The sequence below is a fragment of the Homo sapiens genome, chromosome 13 (assembly GCF_000001405.40).
Source record: "Homo sapiens chromosome 13, GRCh38.p14 Primary Assembly".
In the NCBI taxonomy this organism is placed as follows: Eukaryota; Metazoa; Chordata; class Mammalia; order Primates; family Hominidae; genus Homo; species Homo sapiens.
The window spans coordinates 20,052,337-20,073,798 of record NC_000013.11 but is presented as its reverse complement, the minus strand read 5'-3'; the positions used below and the strand labels follow the sequence as shown (position 1 = coordinate 20,073,798).

The 21,462-nt window shown below is 37.2% G+C and overlaps 1 protein-coding gene and 1 pseudogene across 36 annotated transcripts in view; one reads left to right on the top strand and one right to left on the bottom strand.

Moving 5' to 3' along the window:
- ZMYM2 (zinc finger MYM-type containing 2) overlaps positions 1 to 21,462 on the bottom strand; it is a 225,276-nt gene that overhangs the window by 15,317 nt on the left and 188,497 nt on the right. For 30 of the 36 annotated variants that reach the window (XM_047430584.1, XM_047430585.1, NM_001353163.2 and 27 more), the window contains 7 exons: positions 15,095 to 15,224; positions 14,237 to 14,352; positions 12,575 to 12,746; positions 10,828 to 10,953; positions 9,254 to 9,348; positions 6,780 to 6,948; positions 6,409 to 6,560 (listed from right to left, as the gene is read on the bottom strand). In XM_047430584.1, the coding sequence (XP_047286540.1) occupies positions 6,409 to 6,560; positions 6,780 to 6,948; positions 9,254 to 9,348; positions 10,828 to 10,953; positions 12,575 to 12,746; positions 14,237 to 14,352; positions 15,095 to 15,224 (960 nt within the window). Of the gene's footprint in view, positions 1 to 1,875; positions 1,989 to 5,442; positions 5,716 to 6,408; positions 6,561 to 6,779; positions 6,949 to 9,253; positions 9,349 to 10,827; positions 10,954 to 12,574; positions 12,747 to 14,236; positions 14,353 to 15,094; positions 15,225 to 21,462 lie in introns of those variants that run through there. The other 6 variants (NM_001353165.2, XM_024449407.2, XM_047430600.1 and 3 more) reach the window with 3 other exon arrangements.
- Positions 1,651 to 4,016, top strand: KRR1P1 (KRR1 pseudogene 1; annotated as a pseudogene).

Here is a 21,462-nt window from a genome sequence, read left to right as displayed (position 1 = left end):
ATTACACAATCCACTTAGCTCTCAAAACCTCTTAACGGTATTGAAGTCCTAATTATTTAAATAATCATTTAATAAAAGGCAATCCAGAGATTCAACTTCCTGTGATAGCATTTTCCTTAAGTCAAGGAAAATTAAAACACAACATATAAAAATTCGTGATGTAAGTAAACTAGTTTTAGAGAAAATTTTAGTTTTAAATGCTTTCCTGAAAAAGAAGAAACACTAAAATCAATTATCTAAGCTTACATCTTAAGAAACTGGATAAAAAGAGAGCAAATTAAGAAAGGAAATAATACAACTCAGACTCAATACAAGAGAAAAATTAAAATGATACACCTTTAGCTACATGAGTGTCTAGGCCAACTATACAGACCTAGCTAGCTCCATGGGCCCAATCCCACAAACCTATGAGCTAAGGATTGTTTTTTATTCTTTTATAAATGGTTACAACTTAAAGCAGTTATATATAAGTAGCTATATTACAGTCTAAATTTTTACCTCTTGGTCTGCAAGGCCTAAATTATTTACTATCTTGCCCTTTACGAAAAAGTTGGCTGATTCCTGAGCTGGATTGTTCAAGATACAAAAAGAGGCTGGGCATGGTGGCTCACACCTGTAATCCCAGCACTTTGGAAAACTGGGGCAGGCGGATCACTTGAGGTCTGGAATTCAAGACCAGCCTGGCCAACGTGGTGAAGTCCTGTCTCTACTAAAAATACAAAAATTAGCCAGATGTGGTGGCAGGCACCTGTAATCCCAGCTACTTGGGAGGCTGAGGCAGGGATTCACTTGAATCTGGGAGGCAGAGGTTGCAGTGAGCCAAAATCACACCACTGCACACCAGCCTGTGCGACAAAGTGAGACTTTGTCTCAAAAAAAAAAAAGAACTAAGAAACAAAAAGAAGGCACAGATTACCAGTATCAGGAATGAAAGGATAATAAGAAAATATTACCAAACTTAGGCTAACAAATTTGACGACTTTGATGAAATGCATCATTTCTTGAAAGACAAAATTGCTAAAAGTGGTACAAGAAGAAACAGGAAATCTAAACAGTTGATATCAACTAAAGGAACTGATTAAGTGATTAAAAACCACACCCATCCACACCCTGCCACCCCCACCACAAAAAGTAATCCTAAGCCTATATGGCTTCACTGGTGAATTCTATTGCATATTTAAGGAAGAATGCCAATTCTCACAAATTCTTTCAGAAAATAGGAGGAAGGAATATTTCCCAACTCTTTTTTAAAAATTATTATTTATTTATTTATTTTTGAGATGGAGTTTTGCTCTTGCTGCCCAGGCTGGAGTGCAATGGCGTGATCTCAGCTCACTGCAACCTCCGCCTCCCAGGTTCAAGCAATTCTCCAGCCTCAGCCTCCCAAGTAGCTGGGACTACAGGTGCTCGCCACTACACCCAGCTAATTTTTGTATTTTTAGTAGAGACAGCATTTCACCATGTCGGCCAGGCTGGTCTAGAACTCCTGAACCTCAGGCGATCCACCTGCCTTGGCCTCCCAAAGTGTTGGGATTACAGGCGTGAACCCTCGTGCCCAGCCCCAACTCATTTTATGAAGCCACTACTACCCTCAAACCAAAGCCAGGTAAAGACAAGAGAACTTTCAAGTTTATTTCCAGCTCCACCAGAAGCAATTTGAAAATGGTGTCTTCCTCTCTGAACCGGCCAGAAAGGGGGCTGGAAACAGTGAATTTCATAACCAGAAGCGGAAGCTGAAGAGACCAAGATGAATCGGAATTCCTTACTGTTCCTGATGGTTGGAAGGAAACAGCTCTTTCCAAAGAGGACAATCCCAGAGGACTCTTAAAGGAAAGCAATTATATAACTTTGTTCCCAAAATACAGAGAAGCTTACTAGAAAGTGCTGGCCATTGGTGCAGAAAGCCTTGAACGAACATCAATGTTAACGCAACCCTGCACTGGATCCAGGGCAGCATGACTGTTTGAACTGAGGCAGAAAGATGGGGTCTGGAGGCAGAGAAATTAAAGTCATTCATGGTGAATCAAGGGAAAACACCTGGGGGCAGGGAACTTAAGGCCAATTAATGCCAACTTCCTAAAGCTGAACCAGAAAGGAAAACCCCATCTCCCCATGCCCACATAGCAAAGGCTACTCTCCCTACAATCCTCTCCCTTCTGCCAGGTCTCAGGTGGAAAGAGAGAGTGCCCTGGACTGGCCACGGGCCAAGCAGGGACCATCCCTTCATCTGCACAGGGGGCCAATTCACCTCAGCCTTTTATTAGTATTAGACCAAATCCTTCATCCAGATAAGGGGCAACCAATAAGGACCTCAAAAGGAGTACTTAAAACCAAGAAGACTTTGTAACTCAGCCCTAGAGCCACTTGCTCAGGCCCATTCCCACCCTATTCAGTGCTTTCTTGCTTTAACAAATTTCTGCTTTCGCTGCTTCGTTCCTTTGTTGTTTACGCATTTTGTCCAATCCTTTGTTCAAAACGCCAAGAACCTGGACAATTAACACTCAAGACTTTCCTTCCGTTAACAGAAGTACAAAGACTTGTACTAAAAAATACAAAAAATTAGCTGGGCATGATGGTGGGCACCTGTAATGCCAGCCTCCTCAGGAGAATTGCTTGAACCCGGAGGCAGAGGTTGCAGTGAGCCAAGATGGTGCCACTGCACTCCAGCCTGGATGACAGAGCAAGACTCTCAAAAAAAAACCAGAAGACTTTTGATTCATATATGATCATTGGGACCAGAGATCTAGAACTGTTAGCAAGGACTGTTTCATTTGAACAGGCAGTGCAAGTTCTTCCAGATGATGTTGCATGTAACATCATTAAAATAGGTTATTTAGTAAGAAATAAAGAGATTTGTAAAAAGACAATGGCTTATTGGTCTCAAAGGATCTACACTGAAGAACTCTTAATGTACTTGCTCCATTATGATGCAGGGAAACACAGTTTCAGCCACTGGACCTTTTAGTGACTTAAAAAAGAGGTTTGAAACTGGCTGGGCGCAGTGGCTCACGCATGTAATCCCAGCACTTAGGGAGGCTGAGATGGGTGGATCACGAGGTCGGGAGATCAAGACCATCCTGGCCAACATGGTGAAACCTCGTCTCTACTAAAATATAAAAAATTAGCCGGGCGTGGTGGTGTGCACCTGTAGTCCCAGCTACTTGGGACTGAGGCAGAGGAATTGCTTGAACCCGGGAGGCGGAGGTTGCAGTGAGCCAACATCGCGCCACTGGGCTCCAGCCTGGTGACAGAGCGAGACTCCATCTCAAAAAAATAAAAAAAAGGTTTGAAAAGTAGTCCTATATACTATGAAGAATATGCATCCTATTTATAATATTAAAACCTTAATGACTAAAAGAGTTGGCAAAAGACTCTGAATTTCAACCACAAAGTTGGGAGAGATTTTTGCCACAATTCAAACATACAAATATGAATAAATGCAAGGAACCAAAGAAAAAAAAATGTTAAGAAAGAATATACACCATTCCCACCACCACAGCCAGAAAGTCAGATTGATAACGAACTGGCTAGTGGTGAATACTTTTCGAAGGCAAATCAGAAGCAGTAGCAGCAAATGGAAGCAATAAAGGCTAAACAAGCAGAAGCCCTCGGTAAGAGATGAGCAAAGAAGCAAAACTTTAATTCCATCTAAAGAAAAACCAGATGTGAAACCTAAGGAAGCTTCTACTGAAACTAAAATTCATGTGGCCAGCATCAAACAAAAAGTTAAGTAAGCAAAGAATAAGCAAGTGGGAGGTCTTACAGCTGAAGAAATTATGCTTAAGATGGAAGCAGATGAAAAGAAAAACAAAGTAACATAAAAGAAAAAAAAAGTAACATACCAAAAACCCCTTGACTAGATCTTATGAAGCTATCTCCTTTTGTAAAGGATTTTGAGATACCAGGGCATTAGTTGCCTTATTTGTGATAAATAATACTCTGATCACTTTTTTTTTTCTGAGTTTTTGTTGTTGTTGTTCATAGAACAATGTTCTTTATAAATATAAATTATCGTTAAAAAAAGAAAACTCTGAACTACTTATCCTTATGAACATCTGCAAAAATCATCACCAATATATCTGCACATCTAATCTGGCAATATATAAAAAGGATAACATTATCAATTGGAGTCTATCCCAAGAATGCTAGGCTGGTTTAATGTCTGAAAATTAATTTATATTCATACCATTATTAATAGGAGAAGAAAAATCCGTATCTTAATAGATGCAGAAAAAGGCGTTGACAAAATTCAATAAGCATTTATAATTAAAAAAAAAACAACTCTCAGCAACAAAATAAAAAGTTGAAAAAATTCTCAGTCAACTAAGAATGGAAGAAAAGTTCCTCAACTTGGTAACAGGGAGCTACCAAAAAAAAAACCCTAAAGGGTGCATCGTACTTAATGGTCAAAGACAAAATACTTTCCTCTAAGATCAGGAACTAGGCAAGAGTTTCTGCTATCACTAATTCCATTCAACACTGTACTAGGACTAGGGTTTGGGTGGCAGGAGAGAAAAATGGGGGAAGGTTTCAAGCAATGTAGTAAAGCAAAGCAAAGAAAGATCAGAAAGAGGTAAAACTGTCCTTATTCATAGGTGACATGATTGTGTATATAGAAAATTCTAAGATATATTTAAAAAATAACAAAACAAGACCACCTACTAGAATAGTGAACTGATGAATATATAAAAATCAGTTATATTTTGCAAGTAATGCCAGGGGAAATAGCTAAAAGAGCAAAAAGCACGTCCTTAGGGAGAGGAACTAGGTAGACTAGAGATCAGTGGGGCAGAGAACCCCTTATTTTGTTGTTTTTATTGATTTTAAAAGTTTTATTATCTAAATATGTTTTTAAGCCTTGTTTCTACCAGAAATGAAATTTCTAAATGAAATTCCATACATAACCCCAAAACACAGCCCCCAAAAGTAGGAATGAATTAAAACAAGAGGAGCCTAGAACTCAAACTCTCTTCCTGCTGAGTTGATATGGCACAACGCTAGTGCTCTCTACAGCACTTTAAAAAATAATTGATCTAGATAACAGAATTATTTCTAAAATATAAATGTTCTCCTTAAATAAATTGTTCTGAAACTAGAGGACCAAGACAATTTCATCTACACCTGGTACAGTATAAATGCTACTCCTAGTCTCCCCCTCCCTCCTAGGTATAATAAAAGAAGAGGAGGGAAAATACACACATGGATCTTCAACCCCTCAGCCAGAACCACTGGAGTCACATGTTTTGGAATTCATCATTGTTTGGATTTTACAGGGGAAACAGGGCATGTACATAATTATAATACATTAATATTCCTAGAGTGGTGTGGGTAAACACTCTGTACTTGTTTAGAAACATTAACAATTCTATAGTAAATTCTATGGTTAATGTTCTATGGACGAATATTAACACCAAGAGTAATAAAGACAACAACAGCTTCACAATCCTTTAAGTTAGGTTTTACTGTTTACTGTGTTTTCATGAAAAAAATTCTGCTTTTCAGAGGTTTGTGGAATGGTGGACCTATATTATCATCTAAGCATGAGGCTCAAAGTACATGTAAACCTATAAAACGAGAATAAGAAAAAAGTAAACCTATTCACGTATCTTTTAGGTTGCTACTGCAAGATATATGATGGTCCTTGAATACAGTGATTTATAGCCATGCACTATATATCTGCACCACCACTTACAGAATCTTAAGCAAATTTCTATCCTAAAGAAAAAGTAAAAAAAACACAAATTAAGACAATTCTAGTTTTCTTCAGTGATTTACTTCATTATCTAACACCTGTTAGCAGAATAAAATGAATTTTTAGGCCTACAAACAAAACTCTGAAGAGATCTCCCCTGTCATCTACCATATTTCAAAATACATAGAATGTCAAGTTGGAGATTCTTTCTGACTTCTGGGCACAAATCTGTGGAATCTGTTCAGAACTAGAGGTCATTATTTAAAGTTGATCTCCATGTTTACTGTAGAAAACAAATTCATAGACATGTGGATGAAGTTTATCTTTACCCCTAAAGAATGATCTCTTTTTATGAAATAGCCAAAGAATTAATGAGTAGTTATACTATTTAACAAGTTAGAAACACATCAGAAGCATACAGTGAAACAGACCTATTTACAGAGTTATGACATTTTTCTGTTTACATGTAGATCAGCATGGATCTATAGCCAGATGTGGCTACATATCATGCCTTATAATGTGAATTCACTTATCTGCAATGGGTAAGGAAAGAATGTCATCCTGATTATCATTTATATATAAATGGCAGCAAACATACAACTTTGTAGATGTGTTTCTTGGTAAGTCAATAAAGGTTCCATAATGCTACAGAAACAAGAACTACCACAACTTTTCTTATTAATGTTATACTTGAAAGCAGCCATCAAATTACTAACCTCCTGTATTCCAAGGCAAAGGTAATAGATGCTGTCAGGTGCATAATTCTCTCCATTTGGCCGTCGGATCTCATTGACAAAATGAGCTAACCCATAGTTAAGCTCAGCTGTGGTGTGAGAGAGTAGATCCTCTTTTAACTTTACTGATTTAGCTAAAAATACATAAAATAAAAAATAATTGTTATTATTTAGCGTCTTATTAAGGTTAAGAAACTTTCTGACGTTATTCTTTGTAAGAGCTCTGAAGTAAAATAAAATGCATTCTTACAGGTATTTTAAGTTACATTTATGTTTTTTAAATTTAAAGGTACTCAATAACAGAAATCTTGATTTTAAATAGGACTTAGGAGAAACAAAATTAAAACACTTACAAGATTTTAACTCATCTAATACCAGAAGATCTTCATCAAGTTGCCTAGTTTTGACCCAGTGTTTCCATGCATTTACGCCATACGTATATTTGAAAGGAAAGCTGCATTCTGAATTGTCAGAACTATCATCATGAGACTGGTATCCTGATACAGCCTTTCTCTTGGCTCCCTATTAGTAAAAAACACCATAATAATATCTTTTTTAAAGCCTACATTATTTCATTACTTTATACAAGCCATCTCTCAACAAAGGCAAATTACAATTGACCCTTGAGCAACATGGGTTTGAACTGCAGGGGTCCACTTGGACACGTATGTTTTTCTGTGTGCCTGCCTCTCCAACCTCCTTCTACCTCTTCCAATCGTGCCACCTGAGACAGCAAGATCAACCTCTCTCCTCTTCCTCCTCAGCCTACTCAACTTGAAGACAATGAGGATGATCTATTTCCACCTAATGAATCGTAAATATATTTTCTCTCCCATATGATTCTCTTGATAACATTTTCTCTAGCTAACTTTATTATAAAAATACAGTATGTAGCATATAAAATATGTGTTAATCAACTGTTATCAGCAAGGCTTCCAGTCAACAGTAGGCTACTAGTAGTTAGCTTTTTAGGGAGTCAAAAGTAATACATGAATTTTTGACTGTGCAGGGGGGCTCAGTGAAGAGTAGGCTACTAGTACTTAACTTTTTAGGGAGTCAAAAGTTATACACAAATTTGTGACTGTGCAGGGGGGATCAGAGCCCAACCACTGCATTGTACAACGGTCATCTGTAATTACAAATATAGTTATCTGTTTAATCTGTCATAAAAATATAGTTATTTGTTTAATGTGTCATGAAATTAGAAAAGAAAAAATGAAATATAGGTATTTGCTTTGAACTGACTGGTATTCCTGAATCTGACAACAGTCAATTAATATTCCAGGAAATGTGATGTTTCTACATAAATCACTTTGTGCAACAAAATCATATTAAATTCTGTGGTGAGAGTCACCAATGATGAGAAAATAAATATAAGACAATAAACTAATAATCTAAATATTACTGTAACAGAAACTGAAGAACTTTTCAACAACTCCACCTTATAGAGAGTGACACTTAAGTACTTTTCACTTTTTTATTTTATTGTTTTATTTTTGTTTTTTTAAGACAGGGCCTTGCTCTGTCACCCATGCTAGAGTTTTGTAATCACGGTATCTCCCCTGCCAGGTAAGTATCCATGCTGGAGTTCTGTTTTGAGGAGAGGTCTTGCTCTGTTGCCCAAGCTGGAGTGCAGTGGCACGATCATAGCTCACTGCAGCCTCGATCCTCCTCCTGGGTAGCTGGGACTGCAGGCACGTGCCACCATGCCTGGCTGGTTTTTATTTTTTAGTTTTTGTAGAGGTCTCACTATGTTGCCCAGGCTGGTCTCAAACTCTTGGGCTCCACCAATCTTCCCGCCTCAGCCTTCCTGAGTGCTGTAAGTGCTGGGATTACAGGTGCCACTGTGCCTGGCCCCCTTTTCACTTTCCTGATGGCACTGTTTGCAATGCAAAAGTTTTTAATTTTGATGTAGTCCAGTTTATTTATTTATTTTTCCTTTTCTTCCCTGTGCGTTTGGTATCTTACCTAAGAAACTGCCTAACATAAGGCCATTAAGATTTAGGCCTATGTTTTCTTCTAAGAGTTTTATATTGTTAGCTCTTACATTTAGGTCTATGGCTCATTTTGAGTTAATTGTTGTGTTTGGTGTCAAGCAGAAGTCCACCTTCATTCCACTCCAAGTATTCTCTCCCTTTTCCGGTTTTTTTTCTTTCTTTTGGGGACAATTTGTGAAAGCTATCTTTCTTAAGGTATTTTTAAAACCTGCTTTATGTTGGAAGTCAGAAACACAGAAAGTTGACAGAATATTATAACAATTACACTTGTTAATGCATGTAGATTTGGTCTACCTGAATGATCAAACTGTCCAGCATGTCTTTCTATGTGTGTTGGTATGCCTAAAAGAGACCAGAAATAATAAACTGTGTACTTCAACCCCACTGATCATCTCATCAGAAATAATCGTGGAAAAAACAGCTCCCTAGAAAACAGTCTAAATTTTTGTCAAATAATTGAACTTACTACTTTAGCAACTGTTTTCTATTTTGACCTTGTATCAATACAAGTTTAGTTGAGGTATCAACTAAATCTGAGATATTTTTATTACTTAGAAACAGTAATAAATTATTACTAGAAATAAATTATTACTACTATTATTACTAGAAATAGTAATAATTACTATTTCTATACAAATAGAAATAGTAATAAATAATAGTAATAAATAGCAGTAATATATTATTACTATATTCTATATAAATAGAAAATAAATTATTTTCCAACCTAGAAAACAAAATATGTTCCCATATTCTCAGGCACACTAAAAGAACACTGTATCCTTGTTTGCCTATAGAGAAATATTGTTATATAGGCTATTAAGTGAATGTACCTTTTTTTTAGATCGAGGTCTGGGCTGTTCCTCATATTCTTCGCCAAAAACAGGTGGTAATAAAAATTCATTTTCCATATCAAGCTCCTCAGCAGCTGACAACCAAATCAGAACTTTTATTTTAAATGAAATAGCACAGGGTTACATAAACACAGCCAACAAAGAACTAACCACAGGATGTAAACCAGCATTCATACATGGGGACAATCTAGGCTGGGCTGGGGAGTAAATGACTCATTGTACCTAACATGGTTTGTGAATTCTGACAAACACTGTTCAAACTCCTAAAAACATATATAAAATGAATATCAACATAAAATTTTCATGAAAATGTATGATACCAGAAAAATTATTATAGTCTGAAATCCAATTACAAGATCTAAATGGTCTTGGTACAAATCTGATTCAATCTATTAAATGTTTTTTCCAAAAACTAATGTTTTACATTCTACTCAGTGTGCTCATTAGCCATCCATGGATTAAGAAAATAATGAAAAATGGGGCACACTTATTTTACAAAAGACCTGAAAATAATTTTTCCTTTGAAGGTGAACTTAATTTTCAAAGGATCTTAAAAAAAAGCTAACTATATATATTATATATATAAAAACTATATAATATATATAAAATATATATTATATATAAAATTATATTTATATTATATATTGTATATATTTATATATTATATACATCATGATGTATATAATATATAAAATTATATTTATGTATTATATATATTATATATTTTTTATATATATATATTTTTTGAGACAGAGTTTTGCTCTTGTTGCCTAGGTTGGAGTGCAATGGTGCAGTCTTGGCTCACTGCAACCTCCGCCTCCTGAGTTCAAGCAATTCTGCCTCAGCCTCCCCAGTAGCTGGGATTACAGGCACTCACCACCACGCCCAGCTAATTTTTGTATTTTCAGTAGAGACGGGGTTTCACGACGTTGGCCAGGCTGGTCTCAAACTCCTGACCTCAGGTGATCCACCCACCTCGGCCTCCCAAAGTGCTGGGATTACAGGCATAAGCCACCGCACCCAGATGCTAACAACATTTTTAAATTAAAAAGGACACAAACACTTCTTTAAACTTTCTATAATGAATTACTTCTAGAATTTTTTTTTTTTTTTTTTTTTTTAAAGACAGGGTCTCACTCTGCTGCCCAAGCTGGAGTGCAGTAGCACAATCTCGGCTCACTGCAACCTCTACCTCCTGGGCTCAAGCAATCCTCCTGCCTCAGCCTCCCGAGTAGCTGGGATTACAGGCATGCACCACCACGCCTGGCTAATTTTTATATTTTTAGTAGAGACAGTGTTTCACCACATTGCCCAGGCTGGTCTTGAACTCCTGGACTCAAGTGATCTCATTCCAGAAGTTAACTGTTAAGGTGGGTTTTTAAAAAAAAACAACAACAAAATATGAAGTTAACTCTTAAGGTGAGTTTAAAAAATAACAAGAATAAAAAATATGAACACTGCTAAAAGGCAATGACACAAACATCAAATGGTAAATGATCATAACCACAGTTGACTCCATAACTAAATTCCATAGTCATAAAGGTTTTGAGTACCTCTGGGAAAATCTATTTCGATATCCAAATCTGGTTCATATGGTACATCAGGCATGCTGGACTGTGTCTCTGGGTCAGAGTTCTTCAAAAGGTCTGAACCAATTATATCTGTTTCAATAATTACACCTGAAATCAATCCATATTATCATTAGGAATCAAAACAGAAAACCCCAATGGTATCTGTATTTAATCTGGCAAAAGCAAGTCATTTAATTTTAAATGCAATATAAAAAAATACGTATAATGTCACAAAAGAAAAGGGCATATTATATATATAACTATCTCAAAATGTAAACCACTATAAACCTCATAATTAGTCACAAGCACATGAAAACTTTTAATCCTATAAATTTTACAGGAGGACTCCCTTCAAAAGCTAATAGGTATGCTTTGATAGTAAAACAACTTCAACAAGTAAAGTATTTCTAAAAGCAACTTTTTGTCAAAAATAAACTAATGAGGGTAGACAACTGTAGTTTTCAATACTCTTTGAATTTTGACCCAGGTTTCTCAGATTGTTCAATATATGCATATTAACAACTGCCTTTTAATGGTTCGATCAGTTGCTTTCAAGTGTTTTTGTGTTGTAATCATGGCAAGAAATGCATTTTATCCAGCACATACTGCAAGGTGATGGTGGGGAACAGAAAGACATCTGTATACACACTGGTTTCACAAAATAATACTTACCCTTTCTATGAGGGATTCACACTGTCATTTCTCTTACCCTATTCCACTTAGCTTTTTCTTTTCTTAAACAAAAACACTGGTTGCAACCCACTAATTTCACAACTCCTTACCACAGTGCTTCAAAAACACTGTCTCATTATTAAATCCAGAGAAAATTATAGTATTTTGATTGTCCTCTAGGGTAAGGGTAAGAATTAGCTCAAGGTTGAAATAGGACTTTGGGTATCAAGAGAGGGTTAAGGGTGGAAAATAAATATTCTAAGTGACTTAGAACCATCCACAACACACTCATCACGTTATACCATGTAGCGCAAGCACTGCCCTAACAGAGGTTAAGATAAACTCTGGTTTAGATAATGCAAATTATTTTATTAGTATAAGCAATAAAAGAAAACTAGGGGCTGGGTGTGGTAGCTCACACCTGTAATACCAGCACTTTGGGAAGCAGGTGGATCACCTGAGGTCAGGAGTTTGAGATCAGCCTGGCCAACATAGGGAAGCCCTGTCTCTACTAAAAAGACAAAAATTGGCTGGGCGTGGTGGCACGTGCCTGTAATTCCAGCTACTCAGGAGGCTGAGGCAGAAGCATAGCTTGAACCCAGGAGGCAGAGATCTCAGTGAACCGGGATCATGCTACTACACTCCACCCTGGGCAACAGAGCAAGAGTTCATCTAAAAAAAAAAACAAAACAAAACAAAAAACTAGGGATAACTATTACAAAATAAGAGTTTTGATCATCATTAGAGTCTACTACAAGTTATTATAGTTTTGCATCAGCACTACTCCATTAACAAGAATAATTTTGAGTTGATTTTACAAGTCAAATCCTGCTTAAAACAGAGACCAAAGACCAAATTCCTGCTTCGGATATCTGTCTGAGGGCACCTGGCTAAATACAGTGTAGATCTCTTAATATAAAAAACATTTTTGTTACAATGCTTTCCTCACCCCCACATAAGTTGAAACAAAATGATATGCCCTGGAAAGTACTGTAACAATACTTATAAATAACCAATGTTAACACTTATTCGCAAGGTATAATTTAGTGTAGCTCACTGTTGATGTTGGTTGTCTCTGTTTTCCCCTCGTCTTCACTCATCATATCCGTCATTGTAAGCAACTCTGTATCAAGAGCATCTGAAGAAACCTTGCTTTTTAGCTCCTCAATTGCTGCAGGAATCTTCTCACTGCTGTCCAATGGAGCAGGCAGAAAAACAGGAACTGGCACCTAATTAACCAAATCATTTTGAGTTAGGTTTACTAAACATTAAAAGGTATTTTTCCAAATTAAAAATTACTCTGACACATGATCTACTTTGTAATATCACACTGGATAAAAGCTTTGAAAAGAACACATACAAAACTAAGATGTTAACTGTGATAAGAAAGCCTAGAATACAAGCATCTACTTTTTGGAATTCAAATTAAAGAAAAAGAATTTTTGAAGTATTTCTGTCCCCCAGGGGACTATAATAGCCAAGCCCTGACACAGTGTTCTTCTAAGTACTGCAAGTGATTTGGGATAAAATAATATTTTATATGAAATTCTATGTTTCAGTTCTAAACCTTATGGCTTCACAAATATTTTTCTTTTTTTTTTTTGAGATGGAATTTCACTCTTGTTGCCCAGGCTGGAGTGCAATGGCGCTATCTCAGTTCACTGCAACCTCCGCCTCCCGGGTTCAAGCGATTCTCCTGCCTCAGCCTCCCCAGCAGCTGGGATTACAGGCATGTGCCACCATGCCCAACTAATTTTGTATTTTTAGTAGAGAGGGGGTTTCACCATGTTGGCCAGTCTGGTCTTGAACTCCTGACCTCAGGTGATCTGCCCATGTCAGCCTCCTAAAGTGCTGGGATTACAGGCGTGAGCCACTGCACATGGCCCACAAATATTCCTTTTGAAAATGAACCCAAATATAAACTTAATATGCACAGAGCAGGCACAGACATCCGCGAAATGTCACTCTCGAGGATGAACATATACATACTATACACAAAGCAATCAATCATGACAACAGAGATTCAACCAAATCTAAGTTAACTGTCGAAGAAAGGTAAAGATGGTTTTATTAGCTTCATTAAACTAGTAACTGCAACTAGAGTTATCCTCAGTATTCTAGGGGATTGGTTCCAGGACCACCTGTGGATGGATACCAAAGTCTATGCATACTCAAGTTCCACACCCCTACAGTCAGCCTTCTACACAGATTTCACATCCTCAAATAATTTTTTATTTTCATTTTTTTTGAGATAAGGACTTGCTTTGTAGACCAGGCTGCAGTGCAGTGGTGCAATCACGGCTCATTGCAGCCTCCATCTCCCAAGCTCAAGCAATCTTCCTACCTCAGCCTCCCAAGTAGCTGGGATTACAGGTATATGCCACTGTGCCTGGCTAATTTTTACATTTTTAGTAGAGACAGGGTGTCACCATGTTGCCCAGGCTGGTCTTGAACTCCTGGGCTGAAGATACGCCTACCTTAGCCTCCCAAAGTGCTGGGATTACAGGCAGAATACTGTATTTTCAGTCTGTGTTTGGTCACGGATGTGGAACCTGCCAATATAGAGGGCCGCCCATATTTATTGGGGAAAAAAAAAAATCATCCACATATGTGGATGCATGGAGTTCAAACTCTTGTTGTTCAAGGGTCAACTGTACACTGTTTTCCCAACTGTGTCTGCTAAATCTCAAAATGAGAAAGAACTTAAAATGTGACTTACAGGAACAGGAACTGTAGTAGGAACAGGAATATTCTGACTGTACATGTGCATAGGAACTGGGATATACACAGGCACAGGGATAGGCACTGGAACATATTCTGTCCTCCAAGTATCATCTAAAAACACAAAACATATTTAAGGAGCAATGTTAACTAACACTTATATACAGGTGCTCAATGTTAAAATAATTTGATAAAGAAAAATTTAACTACCTCAGTACCTTTTTTTTTTTAATTCCCAGTTTTTTTAAGTTAGGTAACTTAAAAAGAACAGGACAAAAAAGAAAGCAGCAGCTGTTCTAACTTACAGAAAATACAAATAGAATTTAGGGATTTTTTTTTTTTAAGAAAGAAAACATCCTTTAAAAACACTATGTAGTTCCAGATACCCTACCATACTCTCCTCAACAACCTCCCCAAAGGCTTATTTAATCAAATAATTAGAATACACAGGTAACACTGTAAATTTCATAAAAAATACATATTTGAACAATTTCACCTCATTCTGACAGGAAGGAAACAGAACTGTTACCATTACAAACCACATGCAAAGAGATGATTTTCTCAGAGGAAGCATTATAATTTTAGTAGTCTTATCCCCAAGGAAATTTTCGAGATAGTATTTTTTCACTTTTGACATAATTTGTATTCTAGGCCTTTATCAGAGATTGATCATAATGATTTAAAATGAGATGCTGTATTCTCCAGGTAATATCTAAAATTACGTAAGCAAAATCAACAGAAAATGACAAATTGACCAAATGAATCTATCCTGGAGGTGTCATTCAAGAAAAGCATGTATTTCATTAGGTGAGATGAAGGTATGGGGAAGTATGTAAGTCACATTGTCCTAAGTTACCTGTCTGACAAGATTTGGTCTGCATGTGAGGTTTACAGTAAGTAGCTTTTGTCATTGTTAAAGGTTTGCAAAGAACTGCTTTGTTCTTCATCTCTTTGTTAGGTGTTGGAGAAGGGGGTGGTGCTGAACCCTATGGAGAAGCAAAGAGAAACATTTTTATTTTTATGTCTAATTTTCAATACTTCCTAGTGTCAATGAAGGATTTTCAGTCCTAAGAAGGGAACACACAAAAGCAGAAGAGGATAACCAAATTATGCTATTATCCCTATGTTCACCATACTCTTAATCTATAAGGATCAATATGAATCTATCCTAACTACTAGCAAAGTGGTAGCAATTATTCATTCTATAGATTTATATCACCTTCAAAGGATACCATCAGAATGATTTTAGAAAAATATAAAAAGACAATCTAACTTTTAAGTACAAAATCAAGGTTGCAAACCTGAACTATGAAAATACTTGGGTACTTTTAAATTTATTTCAGAAAAAGAAGATCCAACAGTTATTATGGCTCTCTGATACTCTCACTCCCTCTGCTGGATAAATGGCTTTAAATATGATTATAAATTTGAAAAGAAAAATGAAAACAATTACCAAAGATATCCTCAAACTTTAAGTTGTGTATTTCCTGCGGCCCAGCAATGGCAATTTCTGAAACCTATTCTACAGATGCAGTCTCTCAGATATTTCACACTAAGTTCACTGCAGCATTATTTGCATTGCAAACAAGACAAAACCCCACATAAATAAAATCTGAAATAAGTGGAAGATATGAGCGTAAGGGAGTAAAAATAAGGTACTCTCCACATCATCTATTGATACGGAGAAAATGTAGGTACATAATTCGGAATAGTTATGTTCTATACGGTTGCCCCAAACAATGACTACTGAACCACTGCTGCAATGGGAAATACAAGATTAGGTTCCTGTGAGCCTCTGGTCGCAATGTTTTCATCAACTGATAAATACATAATTTTGTTAACGATACTTCATACAGTATTTTTTAATAATAAAACAATATTTCATTAGAGAATATTTGTGTAATACACTACTGTACTGAAATCAACTCACAGTACAGATATAATGCACACGCATACTGTACAGCACTCACACAGCACATGCACACTGTACAGTACTCCACACATATTGTACAGTAATCACATAGAGTAAACAACACTGTGAACACATACTGTTTACTGTACCCTTATGCATATAAAATCCTAAAAAATATTAAACAAAAATTAAGCAAAGTTTTACAAAAGCTGGCCGGGGGCATTGGCTCACATGTGTAATCCCAGAACTCTGGGAGGCCGGGACAGGCGGATCACCTAAGGTCAGGAGTTCGAAACCAGCCTGGCCAACATGGTGAAACTCCATCTCTACTAAAAATACAAAAATAAATAAATAAATAAAAATAAAAATAAATAAATAATTAGCCGGACATGGTGGCGCCCACCTCTAGTCCCAGCTACTCTAGAGGCTGAGGCAGGAGAATCTCTTGACCCTGGGAGGCAGAGGTTGCAATGAGCCAAGATATTGCCACTGCACTCTAGCCTGGATGACAGAGTTAGACTTTGTCTCAAGAACAAAGCAAAAACAAAACAAACATTAATAAAATTTCACTGTGGATGGAGCTGCAGAATGTGTGATGAGGTACTGCGCTGTGTGGTCTGACCTCTCAACCTTTGATGTGCCCCATGAAAACCGAGGTTGTAGAACTGGCTCTTGTGCCTTGTTGACAGTGTCAGTGATTTTCTTACCCAAAGTGGCTCCAAAAATTGTGTCAGCCTTGGCAGCTTAGCTTTTAACCTCAGATCCTTTAAGCATCTCAAGGCATGTTCTCAGTAGCGCTTAAAATTGAGACTGTGCTCAAGCATAGGGCCACATTTTTCTGTTTTATTGACAATTTTTCCCAAGACAGAATTCCATTCTGATATCACCTTCCTTCATGTTGCCAAAGCCTTCTATGCTCATTTGCTGTGTGATGCACATTATGTTTTTAACATTGTTCTTTATAATTTCTTTAACACCTTTTCAGTCTGATCAAACATCTTCCCAACAGTTATCAATGGACTGCTTTATACTGCCCCCAGGTTGTGTCGCCATAATCAAGAAGATGCATATTGTGACTGCTTCCAGGAGTCTATCCATGGTGGTTTCCTTGTCGGCATTGAGAGCCTCACAAGCCTTGTTACAAAGCTCCCTCATGTGGTACACCGTGAAAGCCTTTAAAATGCCCTGTCTGAGGGGCTGGAGAAGAGACTAGTATTTGGGGGCATGAAAAGAACTCCTACATTGGGATGGGCACTTCCAAGTTCTTCACAGCAATGAACTGGGGCATTATCCAGTAATAAAACTTTGAAGGCTAAGTTTTCACCCTGAAGATAGTGTTCAACTTCTAGGATGAAGCAATGAAACCAATCCCAGAATATTTTGGGTATCATCCATGCTTTTTTGTCCCACCTCCAATGGAAATGATACACACTTCTGGTTTTCCCCTGCAAGTGCTCAAGAATTTTGAGCTCTGTGTATCAAGAGTTTGCATTTAAAGGTGCCCTTGGCATTGGTATACAATAACAAGCTTGCACACTCTTTGGATGAATTAAGGCCAAGGGCATTTCAAAGGTTCATATGCCAATGACCTCGTAAAAATAAGCCAGTCCCATTAGTGTTGAAAAGTAGCTCTTCCATATAACCTTTTCCCTGTATAACACTTCGTAGGTATTCTTCCATAGTATCTTGATCTGCAAAACTCGCCTCAACTTCAACACTTTTCATACCACATTGCCTTAAAATGTGTAAGCCAGCTAGCTCTCACATAGCCAAGAACGTTTTAACATTTTCCTAACCCCGATTAACCTGTTGTGAGCTGAAAGCTGTTCAGTATGCTTTAAAAAAAAAAAATTGGTCATAATCTCATGAATCCGTAAGTTTAGTCATTATTGTATCTTTTCCTTAGCTGTACCACAAACTAGAGATGTTACTATAGCACTCGGGTAGACTGGCAAATTTCCTCTTCCTTTTTCTAGATGTACGATAATGTTGATTCATTAATACTGAACTTACACCAAGAACATTATAACTTCATGCCTAAATGAAACTTTTCTAACAGTATTTTCTCCATAAGGTACATCACAGCTTTCTTGCTCTTAGTGACACTAGACAGCACTTCAACACCACACTTGCTGGCCCTTCTAAACAACAAAAATCATCAACAGAAAACACAAAAATGCAAACAACAAAAACAAAACACCCTGACACTAATTAGACTAAGAAAAGGACACTTGTTTACAGTATGAGAGCTGAAACAAAAAGGCACAGCATTGCTTTGTTCTACTTCAACTGGGAACATGCACATTGGATAACTCAAATTTTTCACCACTCTGCACATCTACAAATGCCTGTGAAAGCACTTAAGTATCGATTAAGGGGTTACAAATAAATTTTGGTGGGTAGGCAAATTTGAAATCCATGAATGAGGACTGACTGCACAATTATCTCTCAGTATATGTGGAGGACTGGTTCTAGGACCACCACCATCCACCAATGCCCCTACCCCTACTCCTCATACCAGAATCTGCATACACAACTCCCACAGTCAGCCTTTATAGAACTCACCCATATGAAAAGTATGCTCTCAAACTCGCATCCTGCAAATCCTTTATTTTCCATCCAAGTTTGGTTGGGGGAAAAAAAAAAAAAAAACAACCCCATGTGGAAGTAGACAAATGCAGTTCAAATCCATGTTGTTCAAGGGTCAACTATACTTAAAGCCACTGCTGTGTGACGTCAGGCAAGTCACTCAATCTCTTATGCCTCAATTTCCACCATTGCATAATGGAAAGAATAACTTAGCAAACAGTATCTGTTACATACCAGGCATTAGGAAAGTTCGCTCTTAACTGGAATCCCAGAAGAGAGGATCTAAAGTCATAGATGTCCTGGGATTGCTCAATGTTGCACTTCTTGCCATTCTGCAAATACTACTTTATGTCAATTAACTATGCCACTTGGTGAAAATCTACACTTGAACCAAACTTGTTTTTTAGAATGTTTTTTACTTTTTTAGTCAATAGGCAGGATACACAGTTATCTGTGTATGCTGAAGTAGGACCCAAAAGAATAAAAATTATAATGACAAAAGCCACCATCTGTTGAGTATTTGCTAGATGCCAGGGACTATGAAAAGCACCAAATCTTATTGCATACTCCTACCACCACAAAAGGTAGGACTTTTTATCACTCCCATTTTACATAGGAGGAAACTGAGGCTCAGAAGTGATATAACCTGGCAACAGGCACTGAGCTAAAAGTTCTGAAATCAGGATTCAAGTAAGACTCATCTGATGTCAAAGTTTATGTTCTTTACTATACATACTGCCTCTATGAAGTCTGGAACAAAACAGTTACACCACGTTTAGTATTCAACATGAGGTAGGTACTATATTCATCTTGATTTTACAAATAAAGAAACTCACAAAAAGAACAGTGAAGTAACTTGCCCAAAATTATACAGCTAAGCTCCTATCCTTTGAAGTTTATGGGTGGAGAATTAGAAGATTCCAAAAGCTTACAAAGAAAAGATGGGAGAGGACTTTATATGACAAAAGGCAACAGCTGCAATGGCAGCCTTACTTATCCTTCCCTATTAATAATGCTCCCTCTATCCCTCTGTCATATAGTTTGGTTCAAGTGCTGTAGGAGGAGAAAAATATTTAATATCGTGCTAATAGTTGCCTTATAAATATAAAATAGGGAGTAGTCATCTTTCATACCCTCAGCATGGATAAAAGTGTCTGGTATTAAAATCAGATAATTCAAGTGAATACTTTACGTACTTCCAAATTATCTGATTTTAAAATGTTATTTCCATAAGGGGGGGTATGGAAAAAGTATTCTTACTTTTCTAGGATTCTGTCCAACTATTAACATCAAAAACAAACACTGAATAGAATAAATGTAAAAATACCAATTTTCATCTATATCAGTGATTCTCATGTCTGGTTACATATCAGCATCCTAAATAACTTTTTTTTGTTGTTGTTAATGGAGATGGAGTTTCACTCTTATTACCCAGGCTGGAGTGCAGTGGCGCGATCTTGGCTCACTGCAACCTCTGCCTCCCGGGTTCAAGCGATTCTCCTGCCTCAGCCTCCTGAGTAGCTGGGATTACAGGTGCCCACCACCACGCCCGGCTAATTTTTTGTATTTTTAGTAGAGATGGAGATTCACCATGTTGGCCAGGCTGGTCTCGAACTTCTGACCTCAGGTGATCCACTTGCCTTGTTGCAGGGATTACAGGCGTGAGCCATCGTGCCCAGCCAGAACTTTTTAAAAATACAGAATTTTTGGGTTGAAACCCAGGCACTGGAAGGTTTTGAAAAGTTGCCAGGTGATTCTAATGAGTAGTCAGAGCTAGGAACCACTAATCTGTTCTTTTGTAACACAACAAGAACTAGCCCAGAGACTTTATTGCCAATAAATGACTCCCAAAGAGCTTCCCTCGGATAAGGATGCCAGAAATAGCAGGATCCACCACTGGTGACTGCTGTAAGATGCAGCATGCCAAGGCCAGGCAGTGGCAAAAGCACTGCCTCTTATCTTTAGTAGTCATTAGTAACATCAATGGCCACTTTCAACCTATAAAACTCTTAAAATGCTAACAAAAGTGTAGAATTTGATGTATTACACCAAAAGAAAAATAAATTGGAGGAAAAAAAATCCAGGACACACTGTGTATTTCCCAAATTGTTAAACTCAAAAAATTCTAGCCACCAACATATATCTTCAGATCTCTACTTGAAAAATAAATGCATAAAGCCATTAATAATCTGCCTCAGCCTATTCCTTCAGCCTCATTTTCCATTATTCCACCAAAGATCCCCTTCAGGCTTGGCTCTAGTAAGTAGTTCTGCCAAATACACGTGCTTAGTACTTTATTATTCTCCTACTTTTCATGCCTATCTGGCAATCTTCTACTCAACTGTTTACAGTCAGCTTATTCGTATCTTTCAGAACAAATACAGTCATTTCAAACATACTATTGCCATTGTCTTAATTTCAAACATACTATTGCCATTGTCTTAATTTCAAACATACTATTGCCATTGTCTTAAAGATGCATCTATTATGGAAACATCCGTCAACTCAAATATCACTTATGTCTATCGCCCCATTGTGAGTAGAGGCTATAATTAATTCTCCTTTATATTCTTTAGCATGCATGACAGTCTCTGGTATTAATATAATTCAGCTGAATACTCCACCGTCTCAGTAAAGCAAAAAAAAAACCAAAAAAATTACTATTATGATCACATTAAATTGGCCTAATTATTTTTTACCCCATATTACAAAAATCACAATTC